Here is a 17566-nt window from a genome sequence, read left to right as displayed (position 1 = left end):
CACAGGCACAGTCTTAAGGGTCCTAGAGCCTTGAACTTCTGAGCTCAAGTGATACTCCTGTCTTAGCCACCCGAATAGCTGGGTACAGGCACGTGCCAACACGCCTGGCTCTCTCTGGCTCCTATACACAAGATATTAGTCCATTCATATATTTACCACTGAAGTGAATGTATTTTCCTTTGGCACAAAAACTTAAATATATTAACATTTACATGGTAAAGATCCAATAATTCATTAAAATTTTACTATGCAAATTACTATTTGAAAAGGACATCATTCATTTTACAATAGTAATTATGCCATTCCCAAAATAAAGGTAAATGGAAATCATGATCTAGTTTTGACAAATTTGCAAATCATGTGAGATCCTTGCAACAGAAGCAGACTTACCTAGACAACGGATGGATCAGCTACAGCCCTTCCCACAGAATCAAGTTGCCTTCCCTTAGCAACCAGCATCACTTTCATGTTACCCAGATTGTTTCTCTCCCATGTTCCTATCTCCGCAACACTCTGAAAAAGTAACAGCATTACACACAATAAGGCTTAATAAGAACAAACGAATAGTATAGCAGTATGCTGATGACAATCTAGGCCCAAGCCTCTGTGATATCTCATCTGGAAGAGTAAGACAAAACCAGAATTCTTTTTTAAGCAGAATTTTTGGAAACTGGCCTCTAAAAGTATTCCCCAATGAAGGACAGAAATGATGACTATTCACAGGTAGTTTCTTAACCCAAGTGGCTCTCATCAGGCAGACAAACGTTCTCTGAAAAAAAAAAAAAAAACAGGCTCAGCTATGCTAGTGATTCTATGAACTGTAGACTGTGGTACCATTATGTAACATGATGTGTATATCAATCAATACAGCACCATAAATATTATTAGTAACTATAGTTTTCCTTTATAATTATTAACACCTCTTTATGTTTTATCTTAAAGCATTAAAAATTATATAGTACCCTATTCATCCAGAAAACCCTTTTAAGATGACAGATGAACAACCCTATCTAGGAATCTGTGGAAAAAACAAAAACAAAACCTTAAACAATTAGGCCAGAAAAGACAAATTACAAGCTCTTGAAAGCAATGTGAAACTTTATGAAATATGAAATGGTTTTTAAAGGTTTCTTTCAATAAGCTTCTCATCTTTATCCTCAAAAGCCAACCAAAGACCTTAAAAAAAAAAAAAAGCACATGATTTGAGGTTCAAGGGGACGTTTCAGCAAAAATTAGGGATTAAAATTCTAATTTTTGCGGCATTCTAATTAGATCCTCTTTGCATTTTCAGTGAAAAAGGTACAGATCCTGCTGGAGAACCATTAAGCTATTAGATTTCATGTTGTTATCATTCTGAATCCATTAATTTTTTAAAGGCTGGCTTTTTTGTAATACCTACTACAAAAGATGGGAGAAAGAAATGTAAAAAAGTAAAAAAAAGAAGGTTAAAATCATCCATAAACTTCCCAACGATTTTTCATACTCTTTGTAGTTCCTTCTAATCTCATCTCCCGGTGTATGTGTGTCTGTGATTATAGTGTATTGTGCAATTTTATATCCTGCTTTTTAGAATCTGCTCAGATTGAAAAGTGTGAAGGAAACCAAGGTAGGCATCTAACAAAAGTTATTACTTAAAACTTAACACTGCACCAGGCGTGGTGGCTCACCCTTATAATCCCAGCACTTTGGGAGGAGGATCACTTAACCTCAGGAGTTTGAGACCAGCCTGAGATAGTGAGATCTAGTCTCCAGAAAAAAAATAAAAAATTAGCCAGGTGTGGTGGTGTATGCCTATAATCTCAGCTACTCTGGAGGCTGAGGTGGGAGGATGGCTGCAGCCCAGGAGATCAAGGCCGCAGTCTGGGTGAGAGCGAGAACCTGTCTCAAAAAATAGAAAAGCAAAAAATAAAACTTATGCTGCAATAAAAAGCATGACATTATTTAACAGTTATCCGTTACTGGACATTTATGTTGTTCCCAATTTTTAATTTCCTTAACCCATACTGAAAAACATATTTTTACACTATTTCCTTGAATATTAGTAAATAAAAATTGTTAAATCAAAGGATATGACAAAATTTCGAACTTTTCAATCATACTGCAATATATTTTCCCAAAAAATTGCACAAATTTATATCCCAACCATTGAGATGCAAACTGTACTCTTGGTAATCTTGCCAATAGTTATTTTTTAAAAACTTCAAAGCAAAAAGTACAATGCTTATTTTATAGGTGCAAAATGGTCACAGGTTTAACATTTTAATGATATCATTTCAGGACCCCAGTTAATCCACAACGTTGAGAAAAAGAACAGGAATCCTGGCTCCTTTTTTAAAGTTCTGCAACTCATGTTAGAGATTAGTGAATGATTCTATGCTACTTTGTAAATTATCAAGCTTATTTGTTCAATCAACAAATATATCCAAATATATTACCTCTACTATATGCAGGTACTGGGGATACAGTCACCTTTTTTGTTTTTATGCTGTCATCTTTTGTGGTTTTTGAGATGGAGTCTCACTCTGTTGCCCAGGCTGTAGTGCAGTGGCACGATCTTGGCTCACTGCAACCTCCGCCTCCCAGGTTCAAGTGATTCTCCTGCCTCAGCCTCCTGAGTAGCTGGGACTACAGGCGTGTGCCACCATGCCCAGCTAATTTTTTGGTATTTTTTTAGTAGAGATGGGGTTTCACCATGTTGACCAGGCTGGTCTCGAACTCCTGACCTCAGGTGATCCACTTGCCTCGGCCTCCCAAAGTGTTGGGATTACAGGCGTGAGCCAATGTGCCTGGTCCCGTCATCCTAAATATGTTCTTGACTCACCTTTTTTCCCCTATAGTCTGAGCTATGTGGTCAGTACATTTATTAATATTTAAGAAACTGACCTAGTTTCACTTTTAATGGGTAACACACACAGTTCAAGATTCAAAAGGTAGGTTATTTTTATTAATATTAGTATTAATACTAATAATATAAGATATAAGGTATCTAAATGAAGATGTCAAACTGAGAGTTAAATATATAAAACTAGAGTTCAACAGGCCAGGATTAGACCTATAAATCTTACTGGCATACACATTGTTTTTAAAGATTTCTTAAAGAGGTTAGAGAAGACAGCCTAGATTACAGTTCTAGAGCACTCCACTAAATTTGGGAAGTCAAACAAAGGAGAATGAGAAGGACCAGCTAGAGAGATGCAGGAGAAAACCTAAGAGGTATTAACTAAGAAGCACAAGAGTGTTTTTTCAATGAGCATTAAGTAGTTAACTATGTTGAAAACTGCTGGGGGGAAAGATAACTGAGAAGTAGCTACGTAATCTGGCAATATGGAGAACTGGTGCCTTTAACAAAAGTAGTTTTGGTGGGAGTAGTAGAGGCAGAAGCCTTACTGAAGTATGTACAGAATTAGAAGTAGGGAAGAAAAGAAACTACAGGCCGGGTGTGGTGGCTCATTTTGGGTGGCTCCCAGCACTTTGGGAGGCCGAGGCAGGAAGATCACCTGAGGTCAGGAGTTCGAAACCCGCCTGGCCAACATGCTGAAACCCCGTCTCTACTAAAAATACAAAAATTAGCCGGGTGTGGTGGCAGGCGCCTGTAATCCCAGCTACTCGAGAGGCTGAGGCAGGAGAATCACTTGAACCCAGGAGGCGGAAGTTGCAGTGAGCCAAGATCGTCCCATTGCACTCCAGCCTGGAGGACGAGAGTGAGACTTCGTCAAAAAAAAAAAAAAAAAGAAATGACAAACTACTGATACTTTTTTCACGAAGTTTAGCTTTCAAATTAGAACAAAAGGACCAAGTGCAATCAAGACAGTTGTTACACAGAATACATCTGTATTCTGATGTTGGACTAAGAAACGGTGGTGAATAAATCAAAATAAATCAAATTGTGATAGTAGAGTAGAAAGTTTAGTAATTTAGTGCCTTTATTCCAATTCATTATACATGAACCTATGGTTAACAACTTTTGGAATCCCTCCCCATTTGGTTTATCTGGAAAACAGGAAAATCGCCAACTCTGCTATCACTTTTTTGGTCCTTTTTGGAGCAAAATAAAGACAGTCATGTAACACGTAACATTTTGGTCAACAATCAAATGTGCATATATGGTAAGCCTGAAAGATTATACCACTATATTTTTACTGTACCTTTTCTATATTTAGATATGTTTAGATACACAAATACTTGCCATTGTGTTAACATTGTACTCAGTACAGTAACACGCTGTACAGGTCTGTGTATTTTCTATGATGCTCACATGCAATCACCCAAACTGCATTTCTCAGAACTCTGTCATTAAGCAACACATGACTGCACATCAGCTCAATTTTCCTTCTTTGTAATGGGTTATACCATATGTACTATTTTTACACTAAAAACGAGAAGATACAGAAGAAAAATAAACACAATTTTAACAGCCATTTTAACTGAAGTGGCATTTTTGCATGTTTTCATCATTTGCTGTGTATCTTTAAATAGCACAATACCTTAGCACGTTAAAGAAAAAAATACCTGAGGGTAGCAGCAAATCCAAATGCAGTTAGGAAAACCATGGACGATCTGCTTGAGATTTCAAGAATTTTGAATAGATGTGAAAATTCTATTGGTGTACAGCTTTATGAACAAGGAATTCAGCTTTATCATCAGTTATTAGAAAGCTGTGCAAGGAATTAAGTTTTATCCATAGCTTTATCAGTGGAGAGTGGCTTACAGAAAGAACTATCAGATGTGTTTAAATTTTAACAGCCCTAATGTTTTGGCATTGCTGTTATTTATGCACTCCTTATTTATAGCTTTGATAGCTTTAATTTTCTAGTCTTATCATGTGCCTGACAAATGTAGTTATATGCCTTACTGACATTTCCATTAAAAACTTTAATTTTGAATTATTCATGCATAACTATGGAATTTGTTACACTGGGCTGAAAGTTGACAGGATTTCAACCACCATCTGTAAATTTTTATTTAGATTATGTATCTCATAATCTTGTTTTTTAAAAGAACAGGGGAAACATTTCTTGTAATCTGCTGTTTAACAAATAATAGTTTTTTAAAGTTAGGCAGTTTACAGTGAGCCAGATCATTTTTGTATTGATTGAAAAATACAACTTTTAGAAACTTAGGTTTCAGTATTAACGACAGCATTTAGCTTAGCATTACTTGTTGTTTGAATCATTTAACTCTAAGGAAGACACTGGTTAAGAATGTTTTCTAAGTTTTATACCCTATAAATGAAGACCTAAAAAAAGTATAAAATGAAATACAGTGAAATGTACAAAATTCCAGTTGACTTTTATTACCTAAAATTTAAATGTGTACTTAATAAATCTTGAGTGATTACTTGATAAATCACTAGATAGGTGGTACGTTTCAACAGTTATTTAATGCTTTCTGAAGAAATAATTTCTGGTCATTAAAAACTAATCATGTTCTGCATCAAGAATTATGGCTTTCTAAAATTATTATAACTCTTAAAGTTTTAACTCATTGATGACTCAAGAATAAATTTTAGAAAACTTAGGATAGCATTCTGTTCCTGTAACAATCTCAATGAAGTTTTTTTGCAAGACTAAAATGTATTTGATTTATTCCTTAAATTTTAGATTTTGTTAGATGCCATTTAAATAATGGTACAGAATTCACTCCTTAGAAGCATTTTTTCAGACAAGCTGAAGTGGTTTTAATAAGACTGAGTACTATTTAAATTACCTTTTAGAATTATTTTAATCATTGAGTTTTTAAACATGTGGCATCTTTACCAAGTACATTGGAACGTTTATTATTGACAGAACAGGTTGGGATACAATAAGGACTTGGGATAAGTCATTTCATTAATAATCAATACAAATGCTGTGCGTTTTAATTTATAAAACCATACAGAACACCTTCTGCCAAACTTCAAAATTTGTATATACTTCTGGGCCACAAAAGTTGATAGTTTTATTTATGACTACTTAGATTGTTATTTATGCATGAAACAAGGCAGGAAAATACATTGAGAATTATGTTTACAGTGAACTTCTTTAATGCATCATATTTCTTAAAACATACTTTTAATGTGTACTTAGTATTTTAAAAACCAAACAAAACAATTATACAATTGCAGGTTTGTACATGTTGTCAATGACAAAAATAAAACCATTCTGGTGGCTTAAAAAAAAAAACACATAACCTTAAGTGTGGTACAAAACTCTTATAATGGAGTTATTGTGTCTTCATTATAATATAACCTTATAGCTCCCAATGAAAAAGATGAACCTATTTAATATACTATAGCCTGGAAGAACGAAAAGGGATAAGCATAAAGAAATAACTCTTGGATCTGTTATTTAACACAGAATTCAATTAAAGAAATGAGTTATTCATGCTATTCTTCCTTTCAGTATTGATGTAAAGTTCTTATCCAATGGGTTATCTTAGACTGGTATTTCCATCAATTGAGTCTACCTATCGTCCTGATTTTTCTGGGCATTTAAGTGTTGAATATCTTCTAAAAACCAGAATCAAGGAATAAAGTCACCTTTCTTCCCAGTTTTGGGGGCTAATTCTGTAAACAGCTGTATACTCATTTCCAACTACAGTACTGATACAAGTATGAAAGAGTTTAGATGCTATTAGTGGCAATCATGAGCAGCACAGGAACCAACATTTGCTGACCCTAGAGGCTTGGAGCTGTGATTCTAAAATGGAACATGGGATGAGACCACATGATATAAAACATTCCCTATTTTAATACACTCACTTTATACTGTGAAATCTTGCAAGCTACAGAACATATAGCACCACAATTTTGTTAGGTGAGTTAAAGACTGAGAAACACAGGCTGAGAAACAGTCTCTGGCATAGATCAACTAATAAGGCAGTAAGGACAGTTTTCAGATGTTTTTTTCTCCTGACCCAATACAGTATAAGAAAAATCATTCATGTTCTTTCTATGTGATTTGCAAGTCTTCTACCCATGTTATCAGCATGCCTATCTTTTACTGTTTTCACAAGATCATACTGTCACACTTTTTTGTACTTACTGTATCAGGAGCATTTTCCAGTATCATTACTACTTTACATTTTGAATGAGCACATAGATCTAAATTTATCTAATTCGTACCTATTACTCAACATTTTTGTAGCTATGTTATTATAAAACTCCAAATGGACTATTACTCTATCATTGTATAACTAATGCTTTAAAAACTACTTAAAAGAGAATTTGCTTAGTAACGTCTAAGGAATTTGGAAGATAAATTTTAAGATATGTTTATTTTGAAATAATGAAAGTCTGCTTAGTAGAAAATCTTAGTGGAAGATAATAGGTAACAAATTCATACATCCTAAACATGGGTACACAGAGGGCTGTCAGACAAGAGGTAAGGTCATAGAATAAGCATAACATCTTCATAAGCACAAACTTTATTCAAGATACGAATAGGAACACTACACACTTGAAGAAGAATGTTTTGGACTATGGTGCCAGGCCCCGTGGGATTTGTTCCTCTATATACTTTGTGGAAAAGTTTGAGCAGCAGAGCCATAAATGAACATAAGGCATATTCAATTAAGGTACCTAATTAATGTTTACTATGGCTTGGTTTTAAGATGGTAAAATATGATTATATATCATAAAAATGTCAACAGAGCTGTTAGTGGAGTCTATTCTAGCAGGCTTTGTTGATTTCAATTACCAACTATTGAAAACAATGTCACTATTACTTGAGTAAGGAGGATTACTTAATAGCAAGGATTTTAAGGTGCAGCATTTCATATCTGGTTTGACAATAAAACTATATTGCTTATTCAAAAAGCAAAAATGTTATTTTTCACTTCATGCATGGTTCAGGAGCTTACAATGTGTTATTCGCCACACTTGAAAGATTTCATCCTTTCAAAACTGAGTACTTTTCTACAAGGCACCATCAGAGGCTCTTTACATGGACATATACAGTATCACCAGACACCTGTGATTTACAGTGAAGTTAATTTTTAAAGCACATTTACTCATTAGATACTAAAATATACACCGGCACTAAAATAAACCTAATGAGCATTTCTGATACGTAACACCTGATGGGAAGTGAATGAATCAGCTTTGACCACTGGTGCTTGGAAGAATGACCTAACAGTGTACATAATCAAAATGACATTTAAATATATGAAATGATAGAAAATTAAACTGTTCATAATGAGCTCTCCAGTGTGCTTTTCTCTGACAACTTATTTCTAGTACTCAGTCATGGAATGGATTATCTTTCTACAAACTTGGGTGGGGCGGGGGTGGGGTGGGGGAGACACAACCACGTTCCTCCTTTTATTTAAACTTATCTACCTTTATAGAATCAAAGCAAACACAAAATCTATTTGTGATTTCTATTACAGGAATTTTCTTCACAAAATGAAAGCACCATCAAGATAAACGGAGAAATGACATGAAAGTAAACAAACGCCACATACATTTGGTAACTATCCATATTTTATCTTTAATATTTGGCAATTACTTTAATAAAAATCATTTAGTTTACCACTTTCTCGGGTCTTCTTGTATCATTTGGAGACATAAAGGAGCTGCAATTGCAAAGCATTTAAAAGTATATCAATTCCTAGGAAATCCTTTCATATAGGAAAAATATGATGGTGGTAAGAAAAAAAATGGACTATTAAAATGGAAAACTCCATTTTGGAAAGGCAGAACACCACCTCAGTGTTAAATATGCAGTCTCTACATAAGATATAAAAAAAAGTAGAATGAACCCTCCTTAAACTTTGTTCCTTTCTAAGCTTTTGATGTCTTTGCAACAGACAGATGTGTGTTTAATACAAGTGATGCAAGACGTCAATACTTTCAAAAACACTTCTAAGCTCCCTCAATATTTTAACATCTATGTGCCAGGCAGTAAATCCTTAGGAATACTTGTTTCACATTATCCCATTCATCCTCACAGGTGTTAATTTAAGCCAATGCACTTAATGAAGCATGGCAAAGGCAACTGTTTAAAATAATGAGATGTTATTTTCAGGACATGTAAGTTTATTACACCATTAATAAAAATTAGAGTCTGTAGATTTTGGAGAGATAAATGAGGCTAATAGAAAGGTAAGATTTTTTGCGGAGGAGGTAAAGGCAAGTTTTTTGTTGTTATTTAAATACTAACCAGTGATATCAAACTAACCTTATAAAATACATACACTATCTCCCCACCTTTAAAGCACCCCTGGGGTGTAATGAGATAACTAAAGGATTGAAAAAAGAGATCTCTAAAAAAAGGACTAGAGGACAGCTATCTACTTTTGATATGAGTCTCCACCAGTAAACATTTCCCAACCATGCTGTTTTCAAAGCTCAAGTCATAACGCCCAAACTTTGATTTCTTCCCCTCAAAATACTTCTAAAACCTGAACACTCAGAAAAATGTTTACATAAAATAATGTATTCATATAACTGCAACGTATGAACTTAAAGTTCTAAGAAAGATGCAATGCCCAGTACTTACTGATTAAATGTTGATGAAGACAGGGCAATAGCATTTTGGCTCCACCATTAGCTCAACTGCAACCAATTAAAGAGATTCACGCAGAATATGCAGGTGCTAAATCAGTCCCCAAAAGCATATTTTGGGGTGAGCCTATCAACTAAAATAGTAAGAAAAAAAATTAGCTTGTTTGGTGGCATACAGAAGCACCTAGTATCGAGAGTTAAAATGAGATAAAAATCACCACAATCATGAAATGTATTTTTCACACCTGTAACATAATGGTTTTTTCCAGATACAATCAGGCTGGTTTTTGTGCTTTCTGTATGGAAGAAAAAAATTATTCTCACACCAAATTGGATTCTCTCAGCATGACAATTTTTGTAACGTTAAGGAATGTAGCTTTAACCTTTTTTCTCTAAATCTTAACAGAATTTCTAAATCCTAACCAAATACATGAAATCCTGTCTCTAAGTACACCATAAGAGCAAAAAGATAAGATTTTGGTGTATCGCCATAGTCATTCTTTAAATGTTAAAGTGATGGCAAATTATTCAAGTTATTAAAAGACAGTAATCCTCAGAAAGCTATTTGAAATATAATTTCAAAACCAGCTTAAAGAAATTTGAAGTAATGAAAAAACATGAAAACCCTTAACTGAAAAAAACAGATTTTGCAATACTTTCAACATAGTGGAAGAATATTTTCGTATTTGGAGCTTAAAAGCTACAAATGGTTTTCTCCCACGAATTAAAAATACAGGTATAATTTAAAATTTTCCAAATGGCGTCACTTTAAGCTTAAGACATGTCATATTAAAAAATAATTCCACAGAATATGCATTTTGTAGGACGTCCCAACATGCAGCCTCGACTGTCAGAAAGGAGGCACACATAATCAAATCCATGTACATTAAAAAGAGGTACACAAAGATGAATGAGTTGCGAAAAAAGCAACTACACAAATTCAATGAGAGAAAGGGAGGAGTCCTGACTCATACTGTATACTATTATCCTTTTCCTTATCTACACCGAGTATTTTATATAAAGACATATGCTCTATCATTCAATTGCACAAAAGGGCACTTGGCCACTTCTACTCTCAAATCTGCTCTGGAGATTGTGGTAAAACATTCTACATACCTCCCTGAAGAAATTCTCAAAGCGAAGTACATTTTAGAGAACAAAGTGGACTTAACAATTTTAAGAACTTTCTCGGAACTCGGCACAATAGGGTAATTACAACTTTACAGCCGCATTTTCCGTGCTCCACCAGGACTGTCCCCGCGCCCCAGCCCACATCCCTTCTTTAAAGAGAGTCAGACTGAGAGAGACGGTTCGGCCAGCTATCCCGATTCTCTATGTCTGGGCCGTGAATCGCCGAGCAAGGCTGAACCCCCGCAAAATTACAGAAGAATCTAAAGCGCAAACGAGGGAAAAGAACAAAAAAGCAAAGGGGGGGAAGTTGGGTCGAGACCCACCCCCACTCTCTCGACCCCACCCAAGCCTACCTCTCCTACGCTGGACCATAAAACAAAACCGAAAACGTAACAAAAATAAAAACTAAAAATAGAACACCACGAGAAAACAAGTAGGGCTTCCTTACTGTCTCCACTCCTTCTGGCCCAGTTCTCTACTCAACCTCCCGGCCCACCCCACCCCCCAGGGGTCCCGGCGCCATTTAGCTCCTCCGAAGCCGCCGCCATTTTCCGCCCCCGCCGGATCGCCGCTGTGCCTCGGCAGCCGCTCGCTTCCCTACTCTGCAGCCTGAGCCACGGGCACCGCCCGGCCCTAAGAGGGAGGCCCTGGCCGGAACGTGCGGGGACGGCAGCTGCAACGTCAGGAAGGCCAGGCTCCGACCCCGCCCGCAGTGCCCCGGCGCCGACAGCTTGCGCCAGCCGGCGGGAGCTAGCGGGCAGCAAGGGGGCCGGACAGGCTCCACTGGGCGGAGCGGCCCTGGCGGCGGTTGGAACCTGAAGGTTCCATCGCACTTACTTCCTGTTTTGGGTCCGGGCACTTTGGAAGAACCAGGATGGAAGCTCCAAAAAATACCAGGATGGAGGAAGCAGCCACGGGCGAGAGTGGCTGCAGCTGGAGTGAGCGAGCGCGACGAGCCACCGGAAACGGAGCTGCGGCCGCGCCCCGCCCCCAGCTCCCCGCACGCTGCCCCTCCCGCTCGTCTGTCCCGCTGGCGGCCCAGCGTGCTGGCTGTACGCGTCACTTCCGGCTGTGTCGGCGCGCGAAAAAAGGTCCTGGGTTGGAATGTTTGTACTGGTCTGTGGCGGTGGTTGTCGGCTGTCCTGCCAGGAAAACTCGGCACTGACTATCCCACTGCTGATGCTGTAAAAGAGGTCCTTCTGCTATGACGCAACTGTGGTTCCTCTGGTTCTGGGGACACTTAGGCCTCGCGTGCCGATTTTCATAGTTCCCTGTGGCTCCGAGCCGAGGGAGCCGCGGTGTGGAACGGAGGGAACCAGTGATCTCAGTGCTGAAGAAAACAGGGAGTGTGTGTCTTCATACTTGATTTGCCTTACCGCAGGGGCATAATATGAGATATCTGGGCGTGTTAAGTCGTTCTTGATGAAATGTGTCCTCTGTGAATGTAGTCTCACTGTTAGACTAGGAAGATGCTGTTTTGCTGTGCCCAGTTCCTCTTAAAAGTACAGATGCTCCTTGGGTTGCAGCCGTATAAACCCATCCTAAATAGAAAACGCGTTTTAATACCCTTATAAACGAAAAGGATAAATAAGCCTTTGGGTTCTGTAATGTGAGCCAGCATTCTTTGAGTGCGTATGTGACAGGTAAATGTTTTACGTATATTAAACTCATTTAATGTTCATAAGTTCTAAGTGCATCGCTACAATTATTACAAATGAATCCCATTTTACACAGGAACCAAAGAGAAGTGAAGGAATGTGTCCAAGGGCTCCCAAGTTGGCGGTGGAATTAGAATTGAAGCCTCAGCTCCAAAGCCTGTGTTCTGAACTACCCGGTTGCAGTTCACAAAATACACTTTGGCAGTACTTTCATAACGAAAACAAATGATTACAACCAGTTTACAAATGCTTTGCTTTACTGGAGGATCGACATGTTTGACTAATTTTCAAAAATAAATCTCAGAAGCAGCATTTTCTTGTGTTGATAACTTTATTACTAATTTGTGGCACTCTGCATTCTGTTGGAGTTAAGCCGTGTATCATTCCATTTTTTAATAAGTACATAATAATGTTTATGTAAGCAAAACTATGAGGCAGAATAGTATCGTGGTATGGACTCAGGCAGTCAGACCTGAGTGTGAATCTTGGCTCCATTTCTTAGTAGTGGATATGGCACTTCACCTCTTTTAGCTTTGTTTACTTTAGGAGTAATAAGATGTACCTTCCAGAATATTGTAGACAGCGTAGTTTGCATGGAATCTGACGTGTATTAAGCATTAAAAATGGTAACTAATAAACCTTAAAGCCAGGAAAGCAATACAACTACTCAAAGAGCAGTTCTAATAAAATAATAATTACATATGCAAAATTGTTGACATTAACATTGATAAGGTGGTTCCTAATGAGCCATATTTTTCATAAGACATAACCATATAGGATTATTTTTGCTAAGGCACAAAATAGTGATATATAAATTATAGTCGGGCTATCCATTCTCCTCTGCTAAATTTTAGGTCAGCCTGCACGCTGCTAACTCCCCGCAAAAAGTCAAGTGCATCCTCATAACTAAATTCTCCCTTTCTGGTTGAGTTTCTTTTATAACTACCTTTTCCCAAGTCAATTGGTATTTATTTGGGGATGACAAATGTATTTTAATATTAGCTTAATGCATAATTTAAAAAAATATAATAACGTCTCTATCCCTTTAGCTTGAATAATCAATGTAAAGACTATCCATAACACAACTTGATTCCTAGAGCAATTTTCTGCAGTTATACTTCTATGTTATCCGTACCTCATTATTTAGTCAATGTGTACCTAGGGAATGGATGAGGTTTTAAATATTATCCAAGGATTTACCTATTTAGGAATTAAATGTTTTGTAGAAAAATCATTAGAAGTATTTCTATCCTAAACAATAATTATTAAAGTATTTATAGCTTAGCTATGGTATTTACTGCATTTGCTAGTTAAAATTGACTTTGTTGGACTCCAGGTGTCTATAACACTTTTGTGAACCTCATCAGTGATTGATGATGAAATTGCCTTTTATGACAGGTTGATATATTAATATAAAGTATTTCAAATACTGAGAAGCAGGTTCTGTTGTTTCATGATCATCTTTTGCTAATTCAGAAAAAAAAAAGATGTTTATAAGCTTTTGTTCAAAGTAAAAGAAAATTACAATTACTGAGTAATTTTCTTTCTACACAGGCTCTGAGTCCTGTTAATATAGCTGATGGGTATACACTGTAGGGCCTTCCAGCTGATGGAGATTGCTGTGCTAATGGAGGAATGAATAAACTGTCCCAGTTATGCCCACACACCAGGCTTTACCAGGTGGTCTCCTGTCTCAGATTCTTCCTGTAGGCTTCCCTCTGGGCCTTATGACACTCCATCTTACAATCCTTTTCCCGCCTTGCATTTTGCCTATGTGTCTCATCTCTGCAATCCTTTTAATACCTCAGCCTGGTGACAACCTCTCTATATCCACTTCACTTTTTTCTTCTTTTGTGGTAAATCTTTGTTGAGACCTATTGATAGAATATTAGCCAGAAAAGTGTTTCCTTATCAAGGGAATGGAGAGCTAAGGCGTCCAATACTCCTAGCCAATAAGGATAAAAATTTTTGTTCTGTCTTTGTAATTTTGGTGTGCAAAACAAAACAGTTCAGATACTTCACTAAAACAGGATAATATCCAGACCCAGACTCAAAGACCTGTTCCTTTATAATCTAGCATGGAAGAGAGAGGGACAATGTATTAGTTAACTAAGCAATAATTGCCATGTTTTGTAAGTTCTGAGAAAGATACAACTTGGGTGCTCTGAAAGTGAACTTTTACATAGAGAGTTCAGAGTAGGCCTTTCTGAGAAGATACTTAAGCAGAAAGGTAAGAATAAAGAAGCATAGTAGGGGGTGCAAGGTGGGAAAGCATTTGTCAAGCTAGTGCATGAAAGCATATTTGCAGAAAGCAACTGGCTTGTAAAATGTTTATAAAATGGTGAAAGCAGAGCACTGCCAGGTGATAGGCTGTCCCTTGCAAATGTTAGCTGAATTTCTCAAAAAACTTTATTGTGGTAAGAACACAACATGACATCTGCCCTCAATAAAATTTTAAGTATATAAAACATTATCATTGACTATGGGTACAATGTTGTACAGCAGATCTCTAGAGCTTATTCATCTTACTTGAAACTTTATGCCCGCTGATTACTAACTCCCCATCCCCTCTCCCCAGCCCCTGGTAAACCACCATTCCACTCTGATTCTAAAAATTCGTCTATTTTAGATACTTAACATAAGTGAAATCATGTAGTATTTGTATTTCTGTGACTGGTTTATTTCACTTAGTATAATGTCCTCAAGGTTCATCCATGTTGTTGCATATTGCAGAATTTTCTTCTTTTTTAAGACTGAATAGTATTCCTATTCCTCTGAGACTAGAGCTCAGTGCATGCCCAGACATAGCAGAAATGGGCCATCTTACCCCTTTGCCATGAGCTTTGATTTGCTAATATATGGCACAATACCTTAACTTAGCAGACATTTAAATGTTTGTTGATATTAAAGATAATTATCTTAAGCCAGAAGACTTGGAAGCTAGCCATTTCTATTCTTTGGCAAGAACAGCTGACTACTGGCGATCACACAGTATTTTTCCAGATAGTGTTGCTACTTGGACAATTCTGGACTAAAACAAACACATGTTACCTATTTTTCAAGTGGAAAGAAGTTATTTTAACACATCACATATTTGGTGTTACTCTAAACCTTATTGCCCAAGTCTTGTGCATCTAGATGCAGTATTTTAAGAATAGAAGCTTGTCATTTTAGCCAGCAGATGTCCCTATTGTTCAGCAGGAGTTTTTTTTTGTTTTTGTTTTTGTTTTTTCTTTCCCAAGTAGTAACTTCAACAGTAGATAGAAATTTTGGGGCCTTCATTGCTAATGATATGCTGTGGCAGACCAAGGACAAGCCTCAACAGTAATAAAGCTAAAGGGATAAGGATTCTGCTTTGAAATCAAAATATGAGAAAGCTCTCTAGAATTAAAAGACTTCTGGATTAATCCCCTTCCCTTCTATTCACTGTACATTTAATTCCTTTGCACAGAATATGCAGTGAAACAGGAAGAAACAAGGAACTACGATAATGTTTATAACTTTCAGGAGTTTGCACATTTGTGATACACTCGGTCATTTCATTCAGCAGCTCTTCCTGAGCACCTCCTTTGGGCTGAGCACTATTTTAGGCACAGGAAATATGATGGAGAACAAGAGAGACAACCCTGCTCTCAAGGAACATATATTCTAATGGAGGAGCTTACATTATAGTAGTATAAGTGCATCTTTGTGCCAAACTTTTTTGGGTAAAGTACTCACTAAATTACTGGCAACTGCCTGTAAAACTTGCTTATAATTAACAATGAGGGAAGAAAACAAAATATGAATCAAATTGATAGCAGTAGGAGGCAGACAAATTCCTTGGTGGATGGGACAGGTCCCAGTGAAACCTGACCTTCAAGCCAAAGACAGCCTGAAGCCTGAAAACCGGGCCGCCAGTTCCAAGTAGAATCCAGTACCCAGAGTGAGAACTTTCTTAATGCCTTTGAATGAATCAAATGGTGCTTTTTCCAGGCCCACTCATGGACCAATCAGCACGCACTTCCTCCCACCCATGGGCCAGTTAACACACACTTCCTCCATTCTGAGCCCATAAAAACCCTGGACTCATCCACGAGTCAACACTACCTGCCTGCAGATAGGAGCTACCCACTTGCGTCTCTTCTCTGCTGAGAGCTGTCTGTCACTCAGTGAAACTCTTCTCTGCCTTGCTCACCCTCCGATTATCCACGTAACCTCATTTTTCCTGGATGCAGGACAAGAACTCATGACCTGCAGAAGAGAGGGCATGAAAAGGGCTATAACACTTTCCTGGCTGGCTCACTGAGCAGTGGGCGATGACATGCTCCCACTTGCTCGACTAGGGGAGTGAAGAGCAGCGAGTCTTTTGGAGGCCCAGACCTTGGGATTCCCTGAGCCAGAGCTGTAACACTATAGCCCTCCCGCCATCTGCTGGTGTTGGGCAGCTGCCCCACGTGATGGGAAGCGGTGGTGGGGCTGAGCCATCCCGGGAGTGGTGGGCTGGAGTGAGGCAGGAGGACTGAGTGGGCTGAAACATGTCCCCGCCCTGGTTCGCTGAGCTGCAGGCAGTGGGAAAGAGAGCTGTAGCATGACCCCCACCCCCCGCCCTTGGGGGGCTCTGCAGTTGCTGGTGACTCCCAAGTTTTCAGGTGCCACCATGTTCCCTTCGTCCAGACGCCGGTGCCCACAGTGGAAGCCGCTTGAAGTATGCCTGGTCCAGCTGCAGCCTCTCGCGTGGAGCAGGTGCCTGTGCTGGTGCCTGGAGCTGCCTGCCTCACTGCAGCATCCAGTGTGCCTATCTGTGTGCAGTGGCCAGACCTCGCGCTCGCTCACTCCCACACCCCTCACCGCTTCACGCCTGGCCTGCCATCCTCAGGCATTGGGATCAAGGCTGGTAGTGCGAGCCGAGGGCAGTCTGCCAGGCCAAGTGGGCAGAATGAGCCCAGCTGGTGCGAGCGAAACATAAGCAGAGGTGCTGCCGGCCACAGAGGTTTCCGGCTGGTGACGTGACTCTCAAAGGATCCTGTGACAAAATCACTTGGTATCATCAGATTAAGCTAAATTACTAGTATTAGAAAAGATGGGTCAATGTGTTTCTTCTTGGAAATTTCTGTTTTCATGTTTCTAGGCAAAGTGTTTTATGCACAAGAGAAACACATACGTCCTCTTGAATCTCCTTTGGCTGGTGTTCTCTGAATCCCTTTAATAGACATACAACGTATGTATATAAACACGGGCAATGTAGAGGTCTTTCTGGACCTGAAATTGTTAAGAGTTAAGATCTGAACCAACAGAAAACACTGCCAAACAT

At 38.4% G+C, this 17566-nt stretch overlaps 1 protein-coding gene and 1 long non-coding RNA gene across 53 annotated transcripts in view, besides 5 other annotated features; one reads left to right on the top strand and one right to left on the bottom strand.

Moving 5' to 3' along the window:
- Window positions 1-11555, bottom strand: part of DMTF1 (cyclin D binding myb like transcription factor 1) — a 43873-nt gene extending 32318 nt beyond the window's left edge. For 7 of the 51 annotated variants that reach the window (NR_024549.2, NR_024550.2, NM_001142327.2 and 4 more), the window contains exons 1-2: window positions 11453-11555; window positions 391-513 (exon numbers count right to left, since the gene is read on the bottom strand). The gene's annotated coding sequence lies outside the window, so the exon portion shown is untranslated. Of the gene's footprint in view, window positions 1-390; window positions 514-675; window positions 770-4186 lie in introns of all 51 variants that reach the window. The other 44 variants (XM_024447016.2, XM_047421126.1, XM_047421119.1 and 41 more) reach the window with 31 other exon arrangements.
- Window positions 8015-8144: a silencer, noted in NCBI's record as "silent region_18343". NCBI's record gives its function as "represses an Ori minimal core promoter by ATAC-STARR-seq in GM12878 lymphoblastoid cells {active_cell/tissue: GM12878}" and the evidence as "EXISTENCE:reporter gene assay evidence [ECO:0000049][PMID:35858748]".
- Window positions 11360-11921: an enhancer, noted in NCBI's record as "NANOG-H3K27ac-H3K4me1 hESC enhancer chr7:86781403-86781964 (GRCh37/hg19 assembly coordinates)". NCBI's record gives its function as "activates a minimal SCP1, AML or CMV promoter by ChIP-STARR-seq in primed H9 embryonic stem cells {active_cell/tissue: H9 hESC(primed)}" and the evidence as "EXISTENCE:reporter gene assay evidence [ECO:0000049][PMID:30033119]".
- Window positions 11360-12006: a biological region, named in NCBI's record as "NANOG-H3K27ac-H3K4me1 hESC enhancer GRCh37_chr7:86781403-86781964".
- Window positions 11515-12585, top strand: DMTF1-AS1 (DMTF1 antisense RNA 1). Of its 2 annotated transcripts, none has more exons than NR_136253.1 (2): window positions 11515-11706; window positions 12350-12585. It is a non-coding gene; the product is annotated as a DMTF1 antisense RNA 1 (long non-coding RNA). The 2 variants fall into 2 exon arrangements; NR_136252.1 differs by having other exon boundaries at window positions 11691-12258.
- Window positions 11767-12006: an enhancer, noted in NCBI's record as "active region_26227". NCBI's record gives its function as "activates an Ori minimal core promoter by ATAC-STARR-seq in GM12878 lymphoblastoid cells {active_cell/tissue: GM12878}" and the evidence as "EXISTENCE:reporter gene assay evidence [ECO:0000049][PMID:35858748]".
- Window positions 11922-12485: an enhancer, noted in NCBI's record as "NANOG-H3K27ac-H3K4me1 hESC enhancer chr7:86780839-86781402 (GRCh37/hg19 assembly coordinates)". NCBI's record gives its function as "activates a minimal SCP1, AML or CMV promoter by ChIP-STARR-seq in primed H9 embryonic stem cells {active_cell/tissue: H9 hESC(primed)}" and the evidence as "EXISTENCE:reporter gene assay evidence [ECO:0000049][PMID:30033119]".

Source organism: Homo sapiens, chromosome 7 (assembly GCF_000001405.40).
Source record: "Homo sapiens chromosome 7, GRCh38.p14 Primary Assembly".
NCBI lineage: Eukaryota > Metazoa > Chordata > Mammalia > Primates > Hominidae > Homo > Homo sapiens.
The sequence above is the reverse complement of the archived record's forward strand: the minus strand, read 5'-3'. Positions and strand labels throughout refer to the sequence as shown.